Source organism: Homo sapiens, chromosome 3 (assembly GCF_000001405.40).
Source record: "Homo sapiens chromosome 3, GRCh38.p14 Primary Assembly".
Lineage (NCBI taxonomy): Eukaryota > Metazoa > Chordata > Mammalia > Primates > Hominidae > Homo > Homo sapiens.
In genome coordinates this window covers 87,352,817-87,374,356 of record NC_000003.12, presented here as the reverse complement: position 1 = coordinate 87,374,356, position 21,540 = coordinate 87,352,817, and the positions used below count along the sequence as shown (strand labels likewise).

The following is a 21,540-nucleotide window of genomic DNA, read 5'->3' as shown; positions in this document are numbered from 1 at the left end:
TAATAAATTCCTTGCACATATTAATGTATCTTGGCAAGTGCTCTTGCAGGACCTGGATTAACATATTATTTTACAGTTTTGTATACTAATTCCCGTATCTGGGTAACTTGTGAATTTCTTAAATTGATTTTTACACTAATGCTACATCGTAATTTCTGTTTATTTGTGTATCTAGTAAATGCTTCATATTATGATGGACATTGTTAATAAGTTGTAAATATTTTGGGTTCTGGTATTTTCTTCTAGGGAATGTTGAATTTTGTTAAGCAGGCTGTTAAATGACTGGTGGTTTGCCTTGAACTTTTAAAGGTATGGTTTTATTTTCTGTTAGGACAAGTCATTTTTAGATTTGCCCTTTGTCTTGTGATAAATTCCTTAGTACTGAGAAACCATGTTGAAATATGTCCTTTCTTCGGTGTGAGTGGAAAACGAAGTGTTTCCTGGGTCTTTTAAATTTGGCAAGACTTGAGCTCAAAACTGTCACCTCTGTACCGGAAAGTAGCTAAATTCTCTGCTTATCTCCGGCAACCTTACAACCGTTGCTTTTTACTGGGCAAGTTAGGGGTTTTTTCTGTACAAGCACAGTTTAGGGTTAGCAAACGATTTGAGTAGACTTTATGTGTAGATTTTGGAGCTTCTCTTACATGGTTCTCTTTTTTTCTTTCCCAGGATTGGGCCTTTCAAAAAAAAATTTATTTTTTCTTTGAGACAGGGTCTCACTCTGGTTGTCCAGGCTGGAGTGCAATGGTGAGATCTCGGCTCACTACACCCTCAACCTCCTGGGCTCAGGCAATTCTCCCACCTAAGCTTCCTGAGTAGCTGGGACTGCAGGTGGGCACTACAACGCCTGGCTAATATATATATATATATTTTTTTTCCTGTAAAGACGGGGTTCTGCCCATGTTAGCCAGGCTGGTCTCTAGCTCCTGGACTCAAGCGATCCTTAGGACTCAGCCTCCCAAAGTGCTGGGATTACAAGCGTGAGTTACCGCGTCTGGCCTCAATTTTTAGTCGTTTAGAAAGCCCTGAACTTTATACTCTGTGTATTCAGGTTAATAATATGTAATTTTCTGCTTGAATTTTATCTTCCGGTGCTGGTGAAAGTACTTGGGTGAAAATCTCTCTCATTATGTCTCCCTTTTTTCAAAGCATAGATCCTCCTTATTTATTTTCTTAACCTGGTTTTGTTTGCTTTCCAGTTTTCAAACAGCTGTTTTTTTATGTTATTAATATTTCCAGAATTGAGTGTGTTATTTATGGTAGAGTTAGTTCAATAACAACAGTTCTGCAAATACTATTATAAAACCCAGAACTCACAATCAGCTTTTAAACATCTCCATCCTAGGGCAATGCTTCTTTTTAAAAAGTTTTTCAAAAATTGTATTACTATCTTATAAAACAGTATTCTTTGGCACATACTAGGTGCTCAATAAATATTTATAAATTAATCAATATGACTGGTTATTTAAGGCTTATGAAACAATTCTATTTAAAAATCTCAAACATGAAAGAGAGATTAAAGCAAAACCAAAAAAGAGCCAGTAGAAACAGTGCAGGTTACTAAAAATGAAGCAAAAAATTATATCTATGAAATAAAATCTATAAAAATGGAGCCAGCATGAAATGAGAAAATAGTAAGAAAGAACTGGAAATTTAAAATAGTATAGGTAAAATTGTTTCATCATTATTATAGGAGAATAAATCAAAGAGAATCTAAAATTGGAATAGAAGAAAGATTTATAAATTAGAAAACAAAGATAATAAATTTAAATGATAAATTCAGGATGCCTAACAGCTTACTAATTAACATGATGAAGAACAATGAAAGTTATAGAGAGGACAGAGAAAATAATAAATTAACAAATATAAAAGTAAAAGAATTTTGCCTAAAGTTAAATGCCACAAGACATTTGGTGAGCTATCTGATGCCTAGAACAATAAATGGTGGGGGAAAATGACATAAGTAAAGGCAAATCATGGGAAAATTTAGAATACAAGCATTAAAGAAAAATTCTAAAATATTCTAGAGATAAAAATAGGTCATGTACGTAAAATCAATAGTCTAAATAGCAATAGATAACTTATCAGCAAATTTAAAGTTTACGGTATAACAATAGAGAAATTATTTCAAAATTCTGAGTGAAGTTATATTTAACCTAGAATTCTATAATCCAAAATCAATCAAGTAGCAACTTAGAGTAAAGCAAACTGCAGATATGCAAATACAAATTTTTGTTTTGTATGTGTCCTTTGTTGGAAATCTATTCGACAGTGTGACTCATAAAATGAAGATATAAAATTTGAGATTTAGAAAGGACGGAATCTATCTCACAGGCAAAGTGAGTAACTGTATGACAGCAGTTGAGTAACCCTAAAAAGTAACCAGTCCATATTAAAACCAAAGAAAAGACCCTGAAAATAATGACATCAAGAAAAGAAGTGAAATTGAAAAGATAGAATACATGAAAAATAGGCAGGTGGCAGAATTTTTGAGAACAAACATGTTAATAATGGGTACATTTTAAAAGTTCAGTAAAAAATGAGATGATAAACTCTAGGGGAAAAATAATAAAGTTGCCCAAAAAGGAGGCATAAACATAATGCATTGCTTCATTTAAAGGTAGGAAAAGGGAGGAGAGCTTAGTTCTGAGTTACCAAGATTAGAAATAAGAAGAGATTGCCTGAAGTACTTTTGCCAAGAAATACCAATATAAAGATTATTTAGGAAAATGTCTGTAAATAAAAGTAAAATTAGCCATTTGAATAAAAAGATGGAATGCCAGAAAATAGTATTATGGATGAAGGAGAAAAGTGAAAGAGATTTGCTACTTTCACATTATATAATCTTTAGTAATATTTGATTTTTCAAAAGTATTACTTTGTTAAAAAATAAAATAACAAAACAAAATAATATATTAAATGAATAAATTGAAGTAAAATAAATATCAGAAAATTTTTAAAGGGTTGGAGAAAAGAAATAAATACCAAAATATTGAAGACGGAAAGAACATTTTGAAAGGCAAAGAAGAGATGAGCCTGGTCGGGAATGTGGATTTTTACCATGAAATAGTGAAACAGTATTGGATAAGCTATAGGTACTTTCCTTCCCAGGATAAACTTTATCGTGGGATAAAGGATAAATTGTAGCTTGTGGGAAGTTACTAATCATTTCTAATCAGAGAAACAGTTCGGTGAATTTAATGGGACATCACTGTTAAATAAGAATGTACTGTAGGCAATTAGGTGGAAGGTCATGAATGTAAAGATGAGATTTGGGTTTGGAAAGGAAGACACAAATCTCAAAATCTGAGAGTATAACCATCAGACTTAGGATTTGCATGACTTGTTTACTATTGAAGATTAAAGAACACGAGAGCCAAGGATGATTCACAGATTTCAGTCTGAAATAAAAATACACACACATAGGCATCTATCATAACTTCATACCAAAAAAGCAGCTGGTTTGGGGGACAGCAGGTTTAGGTTTAGCAGGTTTGCATTTTCAGAGTTTGGCATAAGATAACAGAACCATTCCAAGTAGCATTTGTTTGAGCAGCTACATGTGTACTTACATAAAGCAATGAAGTGGCTTTTAATACAACAACTGCACTGAAAATTAGATTTAAAATAGTGAAAATGTAGCGAATAAATTCAGTTTTCTCTGCCTCTAACTTTCCCCGTCTTTATGTTACTAGTATAAAGTCTTTTTTATTCTCCCATTAAAAATATGGAGACAAGTTCTACACAAATATTAAAGTACCCACTTGAAAGAAAAGAGCATCCTAAAACATCATTTTCTCGAAAAAAGAAATAGTCTACTTTTACACCTGTCAAAAATGATCTAAATTTAGTCATGAAGTGAATTTGTAAACATAAGATACTCCTCAATGGAAGATCTAATGCTCCCTAACTATCATGGGCCCATCAAGCACTGCAGTTGTACATAAACCTGGAAGTATCAGAACACAGAAAAGATCTATTTCCTTTATTTTTTTTCAAAGTGAGATAAGTGTATCTAATTGTTTCTGAGGAGATCAGGAGCACAGTGAAATCTGATATGCCTTTTTTTATTCAGACGAATGAATCTACTTAGATTCCAAGAGGGTGCTCTAAAATGTAATGGTGAAGCATGTAGCTAGGCAACACTGGCTGTTTGTCCTCTCAGAGTGAAGGCACTTCTGGAAAGTGAATGATCCATGACAGCAAATGAAAGTATAAAAAACACATCAAGCAAGTGGAAAACACATTTTTTAAAAAATAACTGCCTGAGAGAATGCTGAGGATGGAAGTAACATGTAACATTGAAATCAGACTTGCTGAAGGGCCAGAATAAAATTGCCCTGCATCCCTAGGTTCCTTGAATATATACAATTCTCAAAGGAAAACAAAAACAACAGCTATGTAAGGGAACTCAGTAGTGTTAGGAGTCGATGTACCAACAAACAAATAAAAGGGAATTTTGAAAGAAAAGGAAAAGGCAATAAACAAAATATAAAAAAGGATTTTCCATTGGCAGCTAAAGCATTTCACAGAGCATCCACGATTTTCATTAAATGACTGTTGTCTGCTAGATCCTACATCATTTTTAAGTGCACTATTACTGCTAAGATTGTATTTTTTTTCTTCTGTTCAAAATGACATTTCTGGTCTTGTTACCATCTGTGAGTGTATACGGCTCAAACAAAGAAGTCTTATGTTAAAGAATTAAACTTGTAGCACTCATTATTTCCTAGACTTCAATACTAACAAGGAATGCAATAAAACATTGTTCTGACATTTATAAAATTACAAATGGCAAAATGTAAAAGAAGTGGTAAGAGTAGTAAAACAGTAGACATAATTTCCTAGAAAGAAGCATATATATATATATATTTTTATGTTGAGTTTATTGTCTAAAACAAAGTTCTTTGTTTAACTGATAATAACTAAGGTGATGGATAATGCTATGGGAATAAAATTCAAATTATAAAGTGTGATTTAAATACAAGGTAATGATATCTACCAGCCTGTAAGTAACTTGGTTTGGAAAAGTAGCCTATGTTTTTCTGAACTATATAATAAATATTTAATCAATTTTAAGTGCTAAAATATATAGAGAGGGCTATTGAGCCTATTTTGAAGGGGTTTTCTGCAAATCGTCACACAGAAGAGGGACCAGCTCCTAGTATGTATATCAAAAAGAACCAAGTGTGTCACTTGAAATGCCCAGTTCTTTTTTGTTGAACTACGCTAAAAGCAAACTGTCAGTTGAAATGCTGTTGTTCAGAATGCTAACATCTAAATCTGTCAAATCATGTAATATGCAGGACAGAAAGGAGAAAGTCTGAATTTAACATAGTCAGTGTCAGAAGCATGGAAGATCAGAATCAGGAGGGCCAAAGGAAAACATTCAGGATAAAGCACTGATTCTGAATACCATTGAAAGTTTTGGCGATACAAGACCAAGGCTTGGATGTGCAAAAAGAAGCTACCAAAGGCATTAAAACAAGAGTGCTTTGTAGGTTGATTTACAAAGGAACTCACACTTGTTTTGCTGCTTTGGGGACTGTGGAATGGAAGGGAGAGCGTGTAGAAATGGGAAGAAAAGAGGCTGTTGCAGTAATCCAGATGAAATGGATAATGGTCCTTCCATTCCACTGGGTATTCATTCTCATCTTCTTTTCCTAGTGCCTCCTCTTTACTCTGCCTTGCCTCTTAATTTTAGAGGATCTTATGGTCAGAACCCTTCTCTTTTTTATCTCTACACACTGTTTTGGTGAGCTTGTCAAGTTCTCAGGCTTTAACGATAAAATATTTTCTAGTAATTCCCAAAGGTATACCTCCAACTCGACCTTTCATCCAAAGTACAGGCTCATATATATCCAAATGCCTACCTGATATTTTTGCCTGGAAATGTAACAAATGCCTCAAACTCAAAATGTTTAAATAAACTCCTGGACTCTTTTTCACATGATTTCAACTTACATCTCAATAGATGGTAACTCCAAATGTTCAGCTGCTCAGGTGAAACTGTGGAACCATTTTGATTCTTCTCTTTTTTTCCTCAACCCATATTGAATTTATCAGAAAATACCGTTGGTTCTACTTTAAAATATATCCAAAATACAAACATTTTTCACAACACTCACTGTTAACACTTTATTCTGAGACACAATCATCTTCACCTAGATTACTGCAATACTTTCTTAACATGTCTCTCTGCTGTAGCCTTCTATAGCCTATTTTCAACTTAGCAACTAGAGTGGTACTTTTAAATATATATTATAGCATGTCACTATTCTGCTTAAAGCCTTCTAATAGCTGTCTAATTTAATGCAAGTCAAAGCAGAAGCTTTTTCAGTTGTTCGCAAGATCCTCCTGTGTAATCTGATCTTCCACTGAGCTGTGTACATATTGAGATCAAATGCCACAAAGTTCCAACCCCTGGTGAATGTAGGTCAGGTCAACTTTAATGTTGGTTAGTTTTAGTTATCTGATGCTACATAATAAATTATGCCAAAACTTAGCAGATTTAAACAACAATTTATTATCTTACAGTTTCTGTGGGTTAGAGATCTGGAGGCTGATTAGCTGGAACATTCTGGCTGAAAGTCTTTCCTGAGGTTGCTGTTAAACTGTCAAGTATGGCTACAGTCTCATCTGAAGAGCCAACTAAGGAAGGATCCACTTCCAAGTTCATACATATCTTGGTTGGGAGGCCTTAATTCTTTGCTGGACTTGATCCAAGTCTTCAGTTCTTCACCACATGGGTCATTTCATAGGCTTCCATAAGTGTCCCTGTGAGATGACATCTGGCTTCCAAAGAGCAAGTGATCAAAGAGAGATGGAACATGCAAGAGAACCCAAGACAAAAGCTTCAATCATTTTATAACTTTATCTTGGAAGTGACATAATATCACTTCTGTTGTATTCTATAGACTAGATGCAAATCACTAAATCCAGCTCACATTAAAGGGGAAAGGAAGTAAGCTCCATTTCTGAAAGGGAAGAGTACCAATTGGCCAGCAGCAGTCTCAACCTCAAGAAAATTACAATTGGGTCCCCTAGTGGAAGTATTCTCCCTTGTGGAAGCATGATTTCTAGACTAAAATAACCTAAATTAGTAGGGATAGGAAACCAAATTGTTACTGGAGAATCACTAAAGGTAACCATGAAAGAAGTCAGTCCCATTGTCATTGTTTGATTTTACACCCATGAATGCTAGCTGATTATGAAGATGGTGTTGGGTAGACACAGAATGTTTGACTGAAAGCCAGAAAATTGCCATGAAAGGTTTACATTATGGGCTTGACGTTATTTGTTTCACAAAACTGTAAAATTGATTTTGAGTGGCAGCACTCCTTCATCAAATGGAAGTGGTATCCATAAGACCTGTTCAAGAAGGTCTTCAAGGTACAAGTAAGTTGCGTGAGAAAGTAGGTGACTCAAATACCCTTGGCCTCTACTCCTGCTAGATATATTACCTTATCTCTCTCAACCCTCTCCTATTACCTCATGAGCACCAATGACTGAGGAAAGAACAGCTTTGGCTTGGTTTAAAAATGATTCTTTTTTTTTTTTTTTTTTTTTGAGAAGGAGTCTCACCCTGATGCACCCAGGCTGGAGTGCAATGGCGTGATCTTGGCTCACTGCAACCTCCAGCTCCTGGGTTCAAGCAATTCTTCTGCCTCAGCCTCCTGAGTAGCTGGGATAACAGGCACATGCCACCACGCCCGGCTTACTTTTTGTATCTTTAGTAGAGACGGGGTTTCACCATGTTGGCCAGGCTGGTCTTGAACTCTTGACCTTGTGAGCCACCCACCTTGGCCTCCCAAAGGCTGGGATTACAGGCAAGAGCCACCGCACCCAGCCTAGAGATGATTCTATACAATATCATAAAACATCCAAAAGTGAATAACTGCAGAACTACAGTCCCTCTCTGAGTTGGTCCTGAAGGATGGAATGGAAGGGAAACCTTTACTAGCAAAAACTTTGAGCAGAGCATCTGGTTGCTTATTTCACTGGCCAGATATGAGTCCACACTGACTTAGGGGCTGTGGTTAATGATATTGCTGAATAGTTTAGAATATGGAAGGAACATGATTGTAAAATTAGTTACAAGGAGACATAGGGAATAGACATGTGGTTAAACTTCTCAGAATGTTCACAGAATGTAAAGATTTTGTGTCCCTTATGAATATCACTAAAGGGTGACCTGGTGACCTCAGCAACAAAAGATTTAAATCAAATGGCTAGGATGTTTCATTCTATGAACATCAATTAGCCAATTTCACCAGCTACTCCTGTCACTGGTCAACAGGCTGATGAATGAAACAGCCAGCATGGCAGAGATGGAGGTTACACATAGTCTCAGCAACCTAGACTTTCACTCAACAAGGCTGGTCTAGTGACAGCCACTACTGAATACCCAATGTGCTAGCAGCAGAAACTATCACTGAATTTCCAATATGGCACCATTATCCAAATGGATCAGCCAGCTACCTAATGGCAGGATGATTAAAATGGATCGTTTTCATGATGGAGGAGAAAATACTTTTTTTCTTACTAGAACAAACACTTACCCAGGATCTGGATTACCTTCCCTGACTACAATGCCTTCTAGGCATGCGCTTACAGAATGTCTTAACCTGGCAGGAGAGATACCATGATCACCAAACATAGTTTCTAAGAGAAGAACTAATTTCACAGTAAGTGAAGTGTTGCGTTGGGCCCATACTCATGGAATTCACTGGTCTTACCATGCCTCAGCATCCTGAAGCAGCTGGATTGATAAAATGGTGGATGGCCTTCTGAAGACTCCGTTATAATACCAACTGGGTGGCAACACCTTACAGAGCTAAAGCAATGTATTTTAGGATGTGGTTTGTATATACTGTAAGTAAGCGTTGAATATATGATTCTCCCCTAGCCAGCATTCATGGGTTCTGGAATCAAAGTTTAGAAATAAGAGTGACTCCTCTCACTATTACTGCTAGAAATTTGCAAGCAACCGTTTCTTTCCCTATTACTTTAGGCTCCGATGGTCTAGAAGTCTTCATTCTAAAGGGAGGAATGCTTCCATCAGGGGACACAACCCTGAATTCATTGAACTAGAAGTTGAAACCACCAACTCTTCAATATGGATTCTTTATGCCACTGAATCAAAGACATAAAAAGAGGTTTCACTATATTGCCTGAGAATACTAATCTTGAATTTTATGAAAAATTTAGAGAAAAGAGAGGTATGTTTGAAGTAAAGGAGATACTTCCTGGGGATACTAATCCTGAATTTTGTGGGAAATTTAGAGAAAGGAGAGGTATGTTTGACATAATGGAAGTACTTCTTGGTACTTCCCATGCCTTATAGTCAATGGAAAATTACACCCCCATTTGGGCAGGACTGATAATGACTCAGACCACTCAGGAATAAAAATGCAGGTCACCTCACCAGGTAAAAAACCATGATAAGCTGGAATGTCTTCTAAGGGCAGAAGGAAAATGGATTGGGTAGTTTACTCGGTACTGCTGACCCTTATGTGAGAGTATTCATAGCTTCAGAATGAGATAGTGTGCCTCTCCACCAGGACCCGGTAGTACATGAGAGTCATCATTGCTGAAAACGCATTCCTAAATAATTCCAAGGAATATATGGTACAGACATCCTTGAAGATTTAAGATTATCTGATGTAATCTGCTATATATAAAGTGCACCCACCTTTGTGAGGCTAGTGACAACATCCAATCTAATAAGCATTTCATGATCTGAAATGTAGTACTTGTTTAAATATTTGCTTGATGTTTCCTAAAGTCTGACCTGTTTTGGTCCTCATTTAAATTGTTTTCCTCTCTAGAAACTATAAGAGAGATAGATAGATTAGGTAGATGATATAGACAGACAGATAGATAGAGATAGATAGATAGATAGATAGATAGATAGATAGATAGATAGATAGATAAAGACAGATAATTTCCCAATAAAGCTTACAGCTTTCTAAGTCCTATGGAGGGAAGAGAGTGATTTCTATCAGCTATAAGTATACTAGCTCTAGAATATTTTACATGTACCTTATTCACTCTCTTTCAATGTACACAGTATACTTATTGTATACTGTACAGACTAAATAGGGATTTTTCAGTTTTGTTTGAGCTTTGCATTTTCTGGGGTTAATTTTTCAGCCAGAATTATTGAGATGGGTCATTTCTATATCCAGAGTCTACTATATTTTTATTAATCCCTAGAAGTAGGATATTATTATGATATTATGCTATGCCTGATCAGAGTCCCGTGTCTTCTTTTAAGACTTAACACATAATGTTATGGCAGCTACAAAGAATGAGTTAATAGGCCCTTGAGGTAATAACATGAATGTGTATTCAGTATCTTCTTGGTTAACTCATTTTGTTCCTGGCTCATTACATTCATATTTATCAGGATAGAGAAGGATGCACTGGCTCACTTAATTACTCTGTGGTACTCCTGGGTGTAGTAATCACTCAATTACTCCTGGGTACTCCTTGTGACATCAGCAAGGGCAGCCTTGGTTGATTTCCTGTTTTATCTGTTTCCACATTCAGGGAATTTGCCTACAGATCAAAGATTCCTTCACGTGGGCCCCTCCTTTTTGATTATATATTTGCAAGCACAGTTTCTAAGCACAGTTTTCAATTTTTCCCATTAGTTGTGTTTCCTTGTCTTTCCTTGTTCAATCCTCTTAGCCTGACACTGTTTCTGGAGGTAGTTGTTACTCTGCCTTTTTAAATTCCTTCTGTCTTCAGACAATCCAGCTGCTTGAACTACCCAGCAGGGCCTTAGGATTGTTGCCATCAGTGGATGCCTGACATTAGGCCACTCTAGGATTCAGAACCACATACTTATACTTTTTAGTATGAGGCCCCTTGTATCAATTTTTAAAACAAATTTTTGTCAATGTCTCATTTCTGACACTATGTGAGTGAAATTCACATATGACTGTGTGAATATTGAACATAATGAACACTATACCATACAAATCTCACTGAACTTACATTAGTATGTTTGCAATATGTTCAAAGGAACCAGGTTTAAACAAGGATGCAAGATTGGCTAACAGAGCTTAGTGAATAAAATTTTTGAGTCTCCCCATTTTCCTCAAAGGAAAGTGTTTTTAACCCACTGTGTTATTCTATTTTGCATTGCTATAATGGAATACCTGAGGCTGCGTAATTTATAAAGAAAAGAGGTTTATTTTGGCTCAAGATTCTGCAGACAGTGTATAGTATCAGTGCCAGCATCTGCTTCTGGTGAGGTCTCAGGAAGCCTACAGTCATGGCAGAAGGTGAAGGGGGAGCACATGGTGAGAGAGGCGGGAGATGCCAGGCTCTTTTTATCAATCAGACCTTGTGTGAACTAATACAGCAAAAACTCACTCATCAACAGGGAGATGGTACCAAGCCATTCATGAGGGATCTGCCCTCATGACCCAGACACCTCCCACTAGATCCCATGTCCAACATTGGGGATCCCATTTCAACATGAGATTTGAAGGGGACAAATGTTCAAACCATATCATCCACCCACATCATTCATAAATTCCAGCATATTCAATTATCTTGTATAGTTGTAAACACGGCTTTTGTTGAGCCATATTACCTAGGTCTAATTTCCTGGTTCTGGGTAATTTTTTTTCTTCATTGTTAATATCATATTACTGATTATCTGTTAAGTCATGTATCAGTTTCTGGATATCACAAATAGCTTCTAGGTTGAACTGTGAAATAATGGGTGATCTTTGGACAGTCATCTGTCTACTCATTTGAGCCTAGGACAAAGTGTAGCTTCCCTGGTTTAAGAGGATGAATTCATGTATACATTAATATCCACACACTGATTTGATTATAATCATATATATATGTGTATATGTATATATTCAGACTTAATCTCTGTCTATAGATAGATTTATATCACCAAAATGTTAGTAGAGTTTATTTTGGGAATATTAGATAGAGTTATTTTCTTTCCTAAAGAAAAGTATTTGTGTCACTTTTTTGTTTTCATTCAACAAATAGGTAATGAGTGCCTTCCAAGTACCCAGCACTGTGTTAGAGGTAGTAGAGATGTGAGGGGCAGGGAAATGATGGATGAGACAGCCCCTGTCCATCTTCATGAACCTTAGTTTAGCTGGGAAGAATGGAAGCATGCTAGGGTGAAGTATGACTAATAATGATTACAAAGTTTCAGCTTTGTGCCACCAAGAAGAGCACACCTGTAACCACAACTTCCGTCTCCCTTGAAAATAATAATCTCATAGAAAAATAGCTCATGTTTTCAAGATGTATAAAAATAGGACATATTTCAGATAATACTAAAAGAAATCAGTGTGGCTTAATGGATTAGACATCAGGAGACCTGTGTTCCAGGAAAAGTTTTCTCTTTTAATGTCATTCAGCTTTTAAAAAAATCTTTAAAATGATAAAACTTGGTCTTAACTCTTTGAGATTTCCTTCCTAATAAAATTGTGTGGCTATAGAAGCATGAAGAAATGAATTAGCAATGAATTGAATTGCTATTACACTAGTTTTCTATTGCTGCCATAACAAATTATCACAGATTTAGTGACTTCAAATGGAACAAATATATTTTCGATTTCTCTAAGACAGAATTCTAACATAGGTCTCACTGGGCTAAAATCAAGGTATTAGCTGAGCTAAATTCCTTTTTAAAAGCTCTAGGGGATAATCTGCCTGTTCTAGGGGATTTCTTAGCCTGTTCCAGATCTTAGAGGCCTGTCTCTGGTCTTTGTACATTATTCCCTACAGTTCAGAACCAGCAATGAGATACCCAATCCTTCTCACCCTGACATCACTCTCTGACCACAGCTGAAGAGTCCTTCACTTTTAAGGACTCTTATGATTAGACTGGGCCCACCCAGATAATCCAGGATGATCTCATTATCTCAAGGTCCTTAACCTTAATCATGTCTGCAAAGTTTCTTTTGCTCTCTAAGGTAACATTCATAGCCTCTAAGTATTTGGCTGTGGACATCTTTGGGGGCCATTACTTCTCCTTTCAGACATTTTTTATTTTTATTTTTATTTTTATTTTTTGAGACAGGATCTCACTCTGTCACCCAGGTTGGAGTACAGTGACATGATCTCGGCTCACTGCAACCTCCACCTTCCAGGTTCAAGTGATTCTCCTTCCTCGGCCTCTGGAGTAGCTGGGATTACAGGTGCACACCACCATGGCTGGCTAATTTTTGTATTTTTAGTAGAGATGGGGTTTCACCATGTTGGCTAGGCTGGTTTCCAACTCCTGACCTCATGTGATCCACCCACCTCAGACTCCCAAAGTGCTGGGATGAGTCACTGTGCCCGGCCGCCTCCCAGACATTTTTTAAACAATAAATTTTGAGATCAATTCATCAATGCATACAGAAATGCAGGGATATATATATATATAATATATATATATTTTATATATATATAATATATATATATATTATATATATATATAGTTGTTGTTGTTGTTGTTGTTGTTGTTGTGGTGGAGATGGAGTCTTTCTCTGTCACCCAGGCTGGAGTGCAATGGCATGATCTCGGCATGAGACTAATTGTCCTTTAGCCAGCGAAAAAGACATTACAAAGTATAGCTAAATGATATAATTAAGAAATGTACTTTATATAAAAATTTACAACTTTACCAGTCTTGATATTTTGAAACCCAAGCTTTTAATACTTCAGTAAAAACATAGGCAATTTGTAATCTAAACATCTACTCTCTTTCAATTGAATATGTTCAACTGTCTTGTCTATTTTAAATTTGAGAGCAAATTCTTAGACTTGGTGAACTATTGACAAAAGAAACCATGATTTTAGTTTTAACTCTAAAACTCTAACTCTGGGTCCTCCTTCTCTTTCTCTCTCTCCCTCTCTTTTTCTCCCCCCCACCCCGCCCCACACACACACATTTGAAAAGGTGGTGTTACTGGTACCAAGGAATATATTTTTATATATATATAATATATATATATAATTTCTTCTGATATCCTAGCACAATACTTTAGCATGAGACATATGCATTGTTATTCACATATGGATTATGTTACTGTACATACTAAAATATGTCAATAATCTTGAATTGATTAATGCAGAGGTTTTCTAATATATTCAAACTAAGAGAAGTGAGACATATGTGGCTCAGGTCCCACACTGGTGCTGGGCCTATTTGTCGCTGGAACCATTCCTCACACTTGTGCTTTCCTAGCTTCTACCATATAGAAAGTATCTTTTAGTCTCCAAAGTCAGCTGCCTTCTGGAAGTGTTTAGCGTATGGGAAGCCCTGGCAGGCTCTCCTGGCATGGATAGTGTCTCCTGCAAATAATATATTTATTTTGTAGTTCCAGGTCCTGCAGAACAGGTCCATCTGGTTTCAGATTCCCCTTGTAGTGCTGGTTCTTCAGTGCCAGTAACACCACCTTTTCCCTTTTTCCTGCAGCCCTTTGTTCTAGAGGTGGTAATAGCATCCAGATGGCTTCCAGGTGCCTCACCATCCTTCTTTGATTCTCAGATTTCCATCACCTGTGAAACAAATCCCCAAACCATATTCACCCTTTTATGAGGACTTGCAGTGGGTTCAACTTTCTGCTTAAATTGATGATACAGGACCCCCACATTTTCTGTAACTAGAGTTGTTCCTTGCTTATGCATTGTCATTCTGGATTTCTAAGGGCTCCTTTGGATGAAAAGGTTGTGAATCCACATAAAAGGTTTTAAACTCTCATTCTACGTGTAAAATTCAAATTATCCAATAGTTTAGCACCTTTTTGTCTCTGTTCCCGGTCTGATTTGCCACTCTTATTCCCAGTTTCTGCACAAACTCCGGGAATTCTAGCCATATACTTTCCGTTAATCATACATTTGGTGATACTATTGCCTATTACTGAATACCCTTTCTTCTCAACCACTAATGATGAAATCCTACCCAAACTTCATGGGCCTAGAATAAATATAGTTTGTCCTCAGATTTTATATTTGCAAGTTTGTCTGCTCACTAAAATTCATTTGTAATTCCAAAATAAATACTTAGGGCACTGCCACAGTAATTTGCAGACGTGGACAGAATGGTGAAAAATTTGAATCTCCAGATGCCAATGTTCTCAGCTGAGGTACAACAAGGCAGTTTGCTGCCTTCTTATTTTAGCTCTCATTCTGTGACCAGATGCCTTTTTCTCAGTCTATTTAATGCCATGGGTTTTTTTTTTTTTTTTCATTTTTGTTCCTTTGGTTGGCGATTTCACTGTTTAAAATGACCTTCACGCATAGGGTTTAAGTGTTGTCTGGTGTTCCTCAGTGCAAGAAGGCCGAGATGTGCCTCATAGAGAAAATACACCTGTTATACTAGCTTTGTTTAGGCATGAGTTGTGGTGCTGTTGGCCAAGACTTCAATGTTAATGAATCAACAATGTACATTAAATAAGATGTTTCTAAACAGAAATACAAATAAAACAAGGTTATTTATAAATCAGTTGGAAAAAATTTTACCAGATGCTTGCAGCAAACTAATCCTGTATTCTTCAAGAAGTAACAGTTAACTATTTGCAATTTCAGTATTCATAGTGACTTTATAGAGCACAACTAATGCAAAAAAAAAAGAGAGAATTTAAGTACTACCCTTTCTAGGAAGCTTCCTCTGATCTCCCCTTCTGCTAATTTCCCTGCCTTTAATTTCCCATAATCTTTTATCTGAATCTCCTTCCCTTTCCTAAGTCATGCTTAAATGTTCAGGATCAGTAATAGACATTTCTATTAACAGAGTTTTTGGGAAAAGGATATTCAGAGATGCAAACCAAGCCAAGAGTTAGTGGGTAGCTAAAGTCAGTAAACCAGAGAAGGAATGACAAGTAGTGTGTCAAGCCATAGAGCCACAATGTAATTTTGAAAGCCTACATTTACAGCCAAAAATGATGAGAGCTCAGAGCAAATAGCAAGCAAGTGGATTCTGGGAAATGCCTCCAATTGGCATTATTGTCTATGGCTGGCTTTTATGTATTCACTAGGACATGGTTTTGAGGAAGGCTGACTGCACTTATTGTGTCAGAAATTAGGCAGACGCCTGTCATCACTTTGTGTCTTCTACTATGATTATTTATGGCCGTGTCATATTCTAACTGGACTGTAAGCTCAGGATCTGAGTATGATTCATTTTTGTTCATGTCTAACAACCTCCTGACATAATCTCTATAAATATTTTTTGAAAAAATACATGCAAGAATCAGTTCTGTTATATAATCCATTAGTATAAAAACTGTAACTTAGTAGTAAAAACTTGATTCTCTAGGAGAACTTTTTATTGCTAATGTTCAGTTACATGGCTTGCCTCAGACAGTGCCGCATACTATAACAAATTACCACAGACTGGGGGGCTTATAAACAATAGAAATTTATTTCTCACAGTTATGGAGGCTGGAGTGTGAGTATGGTCAGATTCTGGTGCTGAGGGCCCTTTCTTCAGTTGTAGATTGCCTGCTTCTGGTTATAGCCTCACACAGTAGGGAAAAGGGACAAGAGAACTCTCTAGTGTTCCTCTTATAAGGACATTAATTTCATTCATGACCTAACCACCTCCCAAAACACCACCTGTTAATGCCATCATATTGAGAGTTAGGAATTGAATATATGAATTTTAGGGAGAAGCAAACATTCAATCCATTGCATGGCTCATGGTTATTTTCCTTTTAATTTTTCAAAAACTAGATAAGCTCCTTGTGGAATCTGATATAAATCAAGGGTAATACTCCTAGTACCGGTATTAAATTACTTACAGTTATTTTGTTAACAGGGTTGACATTATTTTTGCAAGAAGTTTAGTCAGTAAAAACATTAAATTAGATATTTTTAGTAGGTCATGCTTGCATAGAAACTATGAGCTTAATGTTTATGAAATGGACTTCAAATAACTAGCATGTTTTAAAGGAAATAACACTCTGTCAGCCAGTACCAGAAATTTGTATTTATTTCTAGAATATTTTGTAAAGTTTTTAATATTTGGACAAAATATTAAGCATAGATGGAATTTTAATCCAATGGTGACGATTACTAAAAAGGTATATTGCACTTGCTCTTAGTGGTTGCACATGCCTCATGTAATAGAATGCTGACGTAAAGCTAATCTAAGTCTGCTCTTTGTAATTTAAAAAAATTATAAAGAAGCTTTTCTAAATGTTTAGCCAGCACATCATTTATTATCTCACAGAAGTTTCTTGGGAAAAGGGTACATCAAATTGATTTGAAAACTAAAATCCCCAAAGAGATGTATGGCATCGACATCGCCAAATATTTTCTCATTCATTCTTTACTTTGAATAATTGGCTCCTAATATTATATATCTCTTTCTACTCACTTTTTTTCTAATTGATTGCTAAAAACTAAAGTTTTGTTATTAACCATCTTATAAATCAATATATTTATATCTAGCCACCATTTTCTTAGTCTAAATTTATGGCTTCTCACAGTAGAAAAGCTATAAACCATGCCCAGAAAATTTTATTCTAGCATTCTCTTGGTTTCAAAAATTATAATTGCATCTTTTTCTCAATTTCAACTTCAATGAGCCCTTTCCATAAAATTGTTGTGCTTAATAGCATAGAAAGAACAAGCTTGATCATGGATATCTTTTGATGTTTCTCACTGAAAAGCTACCCTGTGTCTTATTGCTACTTAAATTTGTTGAGGAATGAAATGTATTGCAAGATGATGATCTGTAGAGATGATGGAACTAGACATAGTTCTTTCCCATTACAGAATAGCAGGATATGAATTTATTTGGCATTTAATCAGGACAAACTGTATGTAATTTTACTTCCAAAAGACAAACATGTTTTAGCAATTTTAACTATATTCTCCTCCACTGAACAATATTGTCAAATATTCTACTGAATCATAATTTTTAATTCTTTGAATAAGTCTAAATGTTCTGAAAAAAGGCTTTTGTTCACTGCAAAGTATACATATGATTATTAAATAACTTAGAGATCCAAAACTCATTTTATGATGAATTCAATTAAATTCTCCTAAATTCTCACACATACACACACATAAACACACACACACACTCCACATTTGGGCTCATTGTTATTAAACTCTCTTCAGTGATTCTAGCAAACAATATTTTTTGTGGGACACGAAGGTAACAATGACATACTTCCCTGATATGGTTTGATTTTGTCACCACCAAAATCTCATCTTGAATTGTAGCTCCCATAATCCCCACATGTTGTGGGAGGAACCCAGTGGGAGGTAATTGAATCATGGCCACAGGTTTATCCTGTGCTGTATTCTTGAGAGTGAATGAGTCTCATGGGATCTGACAGTTTCATAAAGGGCAGTTCCCCTGCACATGTTCTTGCCAGCTGCCATGTAAGACGTGCCTTTTCTCCTCCTTTGCCTTCCACCATGATTGTGAGGCCTCCCCAGCCATGTGGAACTGTGAGCCCATTAAACCTCTCTTTCTTTATAAATTATCCAGTCTCAGGTATTTCTTCATAGCAGTATGAAAATAGACTAATGCACCCACTCCTCCCCACTTCATACCCAAGAACTTGGAAATAAGGGGAATATAGCTGTCTTGAGAAGTCAACAACAGAATCTTCAACTCATAATAACAGAAGACTCAAGCCATGAAATCATAAAATTTATTTAACCCTAGATCAGCCAATGATGTGCTTGTTAAAAGAAAGGGTGACCAAGAAAAATGTAAAGTCAGTAAGATAAAATGTGATGATGTAGATCAGGCACAGCCAAGGTGGTGCTGATTCTGAGCCTGCAGACACACAAAAAAACTAATCATAAGAGAGGACTGTACTAGGGAGGAGCAAGGATATTTCATCAGATTTCACCTTGGCTTGATAAATTGCCCACAAATCAATCTATTTACCGTTGCTTTAATTCTGTGAATTCTGTGCTTACTAGGCCTAAGCAAACTTCTGATTAGCAAAGTGGATTCTCAAACATCTTGAAGAAGAAAAAAGTGTGGTGCTCTAGGTTGTGGATGTGAACAGCCCAGTGACTGGAAAGCTGTAGTCCTCATTATAAAACAGAAACATGTTATTCCGTGTTCATTATACACTGGTATCAGGTGATTTGATTATTATTGGTTTGTCCCCTATAACCAAATTACTTTTAGCTATCTTAATAAAATTTTCATTTCTCGCCTACAAGGATAAGGACCATACCTTAAGCCTTGGTAAATTTAGCACAATAAATGCCATTCTTTAAGGACTGCTGATTTTGCCTCTGAGCTAAATTATAACATAATTTAATGACTCTGCCAACCATTGATGACAGAAATATTATCTAATAATACATTATACATATTATGGCAATGCATGCAATGATTTTCTAGTTATATTTTTTACATTAAAATGCAAAAACTATCAGTCTTAACCATACGACATTTTATGTTTGACCTAACAATATGGCAATTTCATATAATTTAACTTAAAATTAGCCTCATTTTGTTTCTCTATTAAGTTCATGTGCTTGTTTCACAATGACCATATGTCACATTTTTTCTTGATCCTTAAACTTCCCACTTCTCATCTCTTTTTCTCCTCAGTTCACACCAATGAGATCACTTTACACTTGTGGACACCTTGGCCCTGTTTGCTTTCAGCTCCATCCTCTTCTCTATGGCATAGACATCACTCCTGAAGCCTGAATTTCCCAGGTTTCCTTCACAAGTGGTTGCCTGCTGGCTTTGCCAGTGTGAGGCACTGGTGGGAGATTGTGCAACATCAGGAAGCAAGAAGCCAGGGCTGTTCTTGTCCTCTGTCATCAAGCTGTAGTGGAGTGTCTCTGGGAGTAGCAGTATCAACTCCTGCTCTCATTGGGTGGACAGGCTCTGTTTCCAGCTTCTGTGGGGTGACCTTTGTCCCTGGAACTAGTAATACCTCCTCCTCCATTCTTCTCTAATGCAGAGGTGATAGTTATGTTCTGCTGTCTACAGTCTCTGTTATCTCAGTTTCCCTATGTGGATGCTCAGCTCCTTCATACCAGTTCAATCAATTCCCTGCATTATGTTCTTCCTGTTGTAAAATCTTGAAGTGATTTATCTTTTTCTCACAAAACACTGACTCATATAATACCTAAAAAATATACAAACTGCTAGATTTGAGTCCCATTCTATTCTCATCACCCAAAATTGGTTGAGTCTAAATTTGTCATCCTCCCTACCTCCTATAATAATAAATAAATTCCTTTCTCTGTCAATGGCAAATTTCTTCACATGGCCTTTTATCGTATCTCTTCCATTTTCCTTAATTACTTATTTTTTTTTTAGTTTTAACTTTTTAAGTATGCATACAATTTATAACTATAATAAGATTTTAGCAGAATTTTTCTTCAAAAAGCCCTCCCTTGGCTCTAAATTCCTATACAGTGATTTCCTGAACTTCTTTGCTTCCTTTCTTATTAAATGTAAGCAAAAAGTTGTTTAAACTTACTGTGCCCACTTCCTTACTTTTTAGTCTGTTTCAAATTAACTTCCATTGACTGGGTGCTGTGTCTCACGCCTGTAATCGCAGCACTTTGGGAGGTCAAGGAGGGCAGATCATTTGGGGTCAGGAGTTCGAGACCAACCTGGCCAACTTGGTGAAACCCCATCTCTGTTAAAAATACACAAATTAGCCGGGCATGGTGGCAGACGCCTGTAATCCCAGCTACTCGTGTAGCTGAGGCAGGAGAATTGCTTGAACCTGGGAGGCGGAGTTTGCAGTGAGCCGATATCACGCCACTGCCCTCCAGCCTGGGCGACAGAATGAGACTCTGTCTCAAGAACAAAACAAAACAAAACAAACAAAGTAACTTCCATCCTCACCTCACCACTCTATCTGAAACCTGCTGTCAAGCTGGATCAGCCTTTAAATAATGAAACCCAGTGAATACTTTCCTCCCTACTTCAATTGCCTGTACAGTAGCTTTTGACAAATAGCTTGTTCTGGCCTCTGTTAGATATTAAGATTCCACACTGTTCTGCATTTGTTGTTCCTCTCTTTGCTTGTTTACTTGCTGTTTTCAGTTTCTCTGTCTCATTTGCTCTCTAACTCCTCAATTTAACTTCCAAATTCAGGATTTCCTACGGGCTTAGAAAAGGTTTCCTTAATCTCTGACTTTAATCTCTCATTGGGTGATTTAATTTTCTACGGGTCTGTTTAATGTTTTATTGGGTGATTCTTTTTTCATGGATTTAAATATCATCTCCATAGTGATGGTTTCTAAAATTTTAACTTCATTAACATTACCTTTCTAAGATTCATGTCAAATTCTTAATTGAAATCTCTATTTGGGGATCTCATGGACAGTTTATATTTAACTTGTAACAGTTTAAATATCATTTTTTCCCAGTCTTACCTGTCTAACTTATGTCATAAAATAAGAGCAATGTAACACTTGTAGCCCTTGTCAGAATTCTAGGAGACATATTTAAGACCCTTCTAATTTTAATCCATTAGTAATAAAAATAACATTTATTGAATGTATATTATGTGCTATGCACGACACTATGTTTACTACAGACATTATTTAATC

At 36.3% G+C, this 21,540-nt stretch overlaps 1 annotated feature.

Moving 5' to 3' along the window:
• Nucleotides 391–591: a silencer, noted in NCBI's record as "peak4742 fragment used in MPRA reporter construct". NCBI's record gives its function as "represses an SCP1 promoter by STARR-seq MPRAs in K562 erythroleukemia cells {active_cell/tissue: K562}" and the evidence as "EXISTENCE:reporter gene assay evidence [ECO:0000049][PMID:32103011]".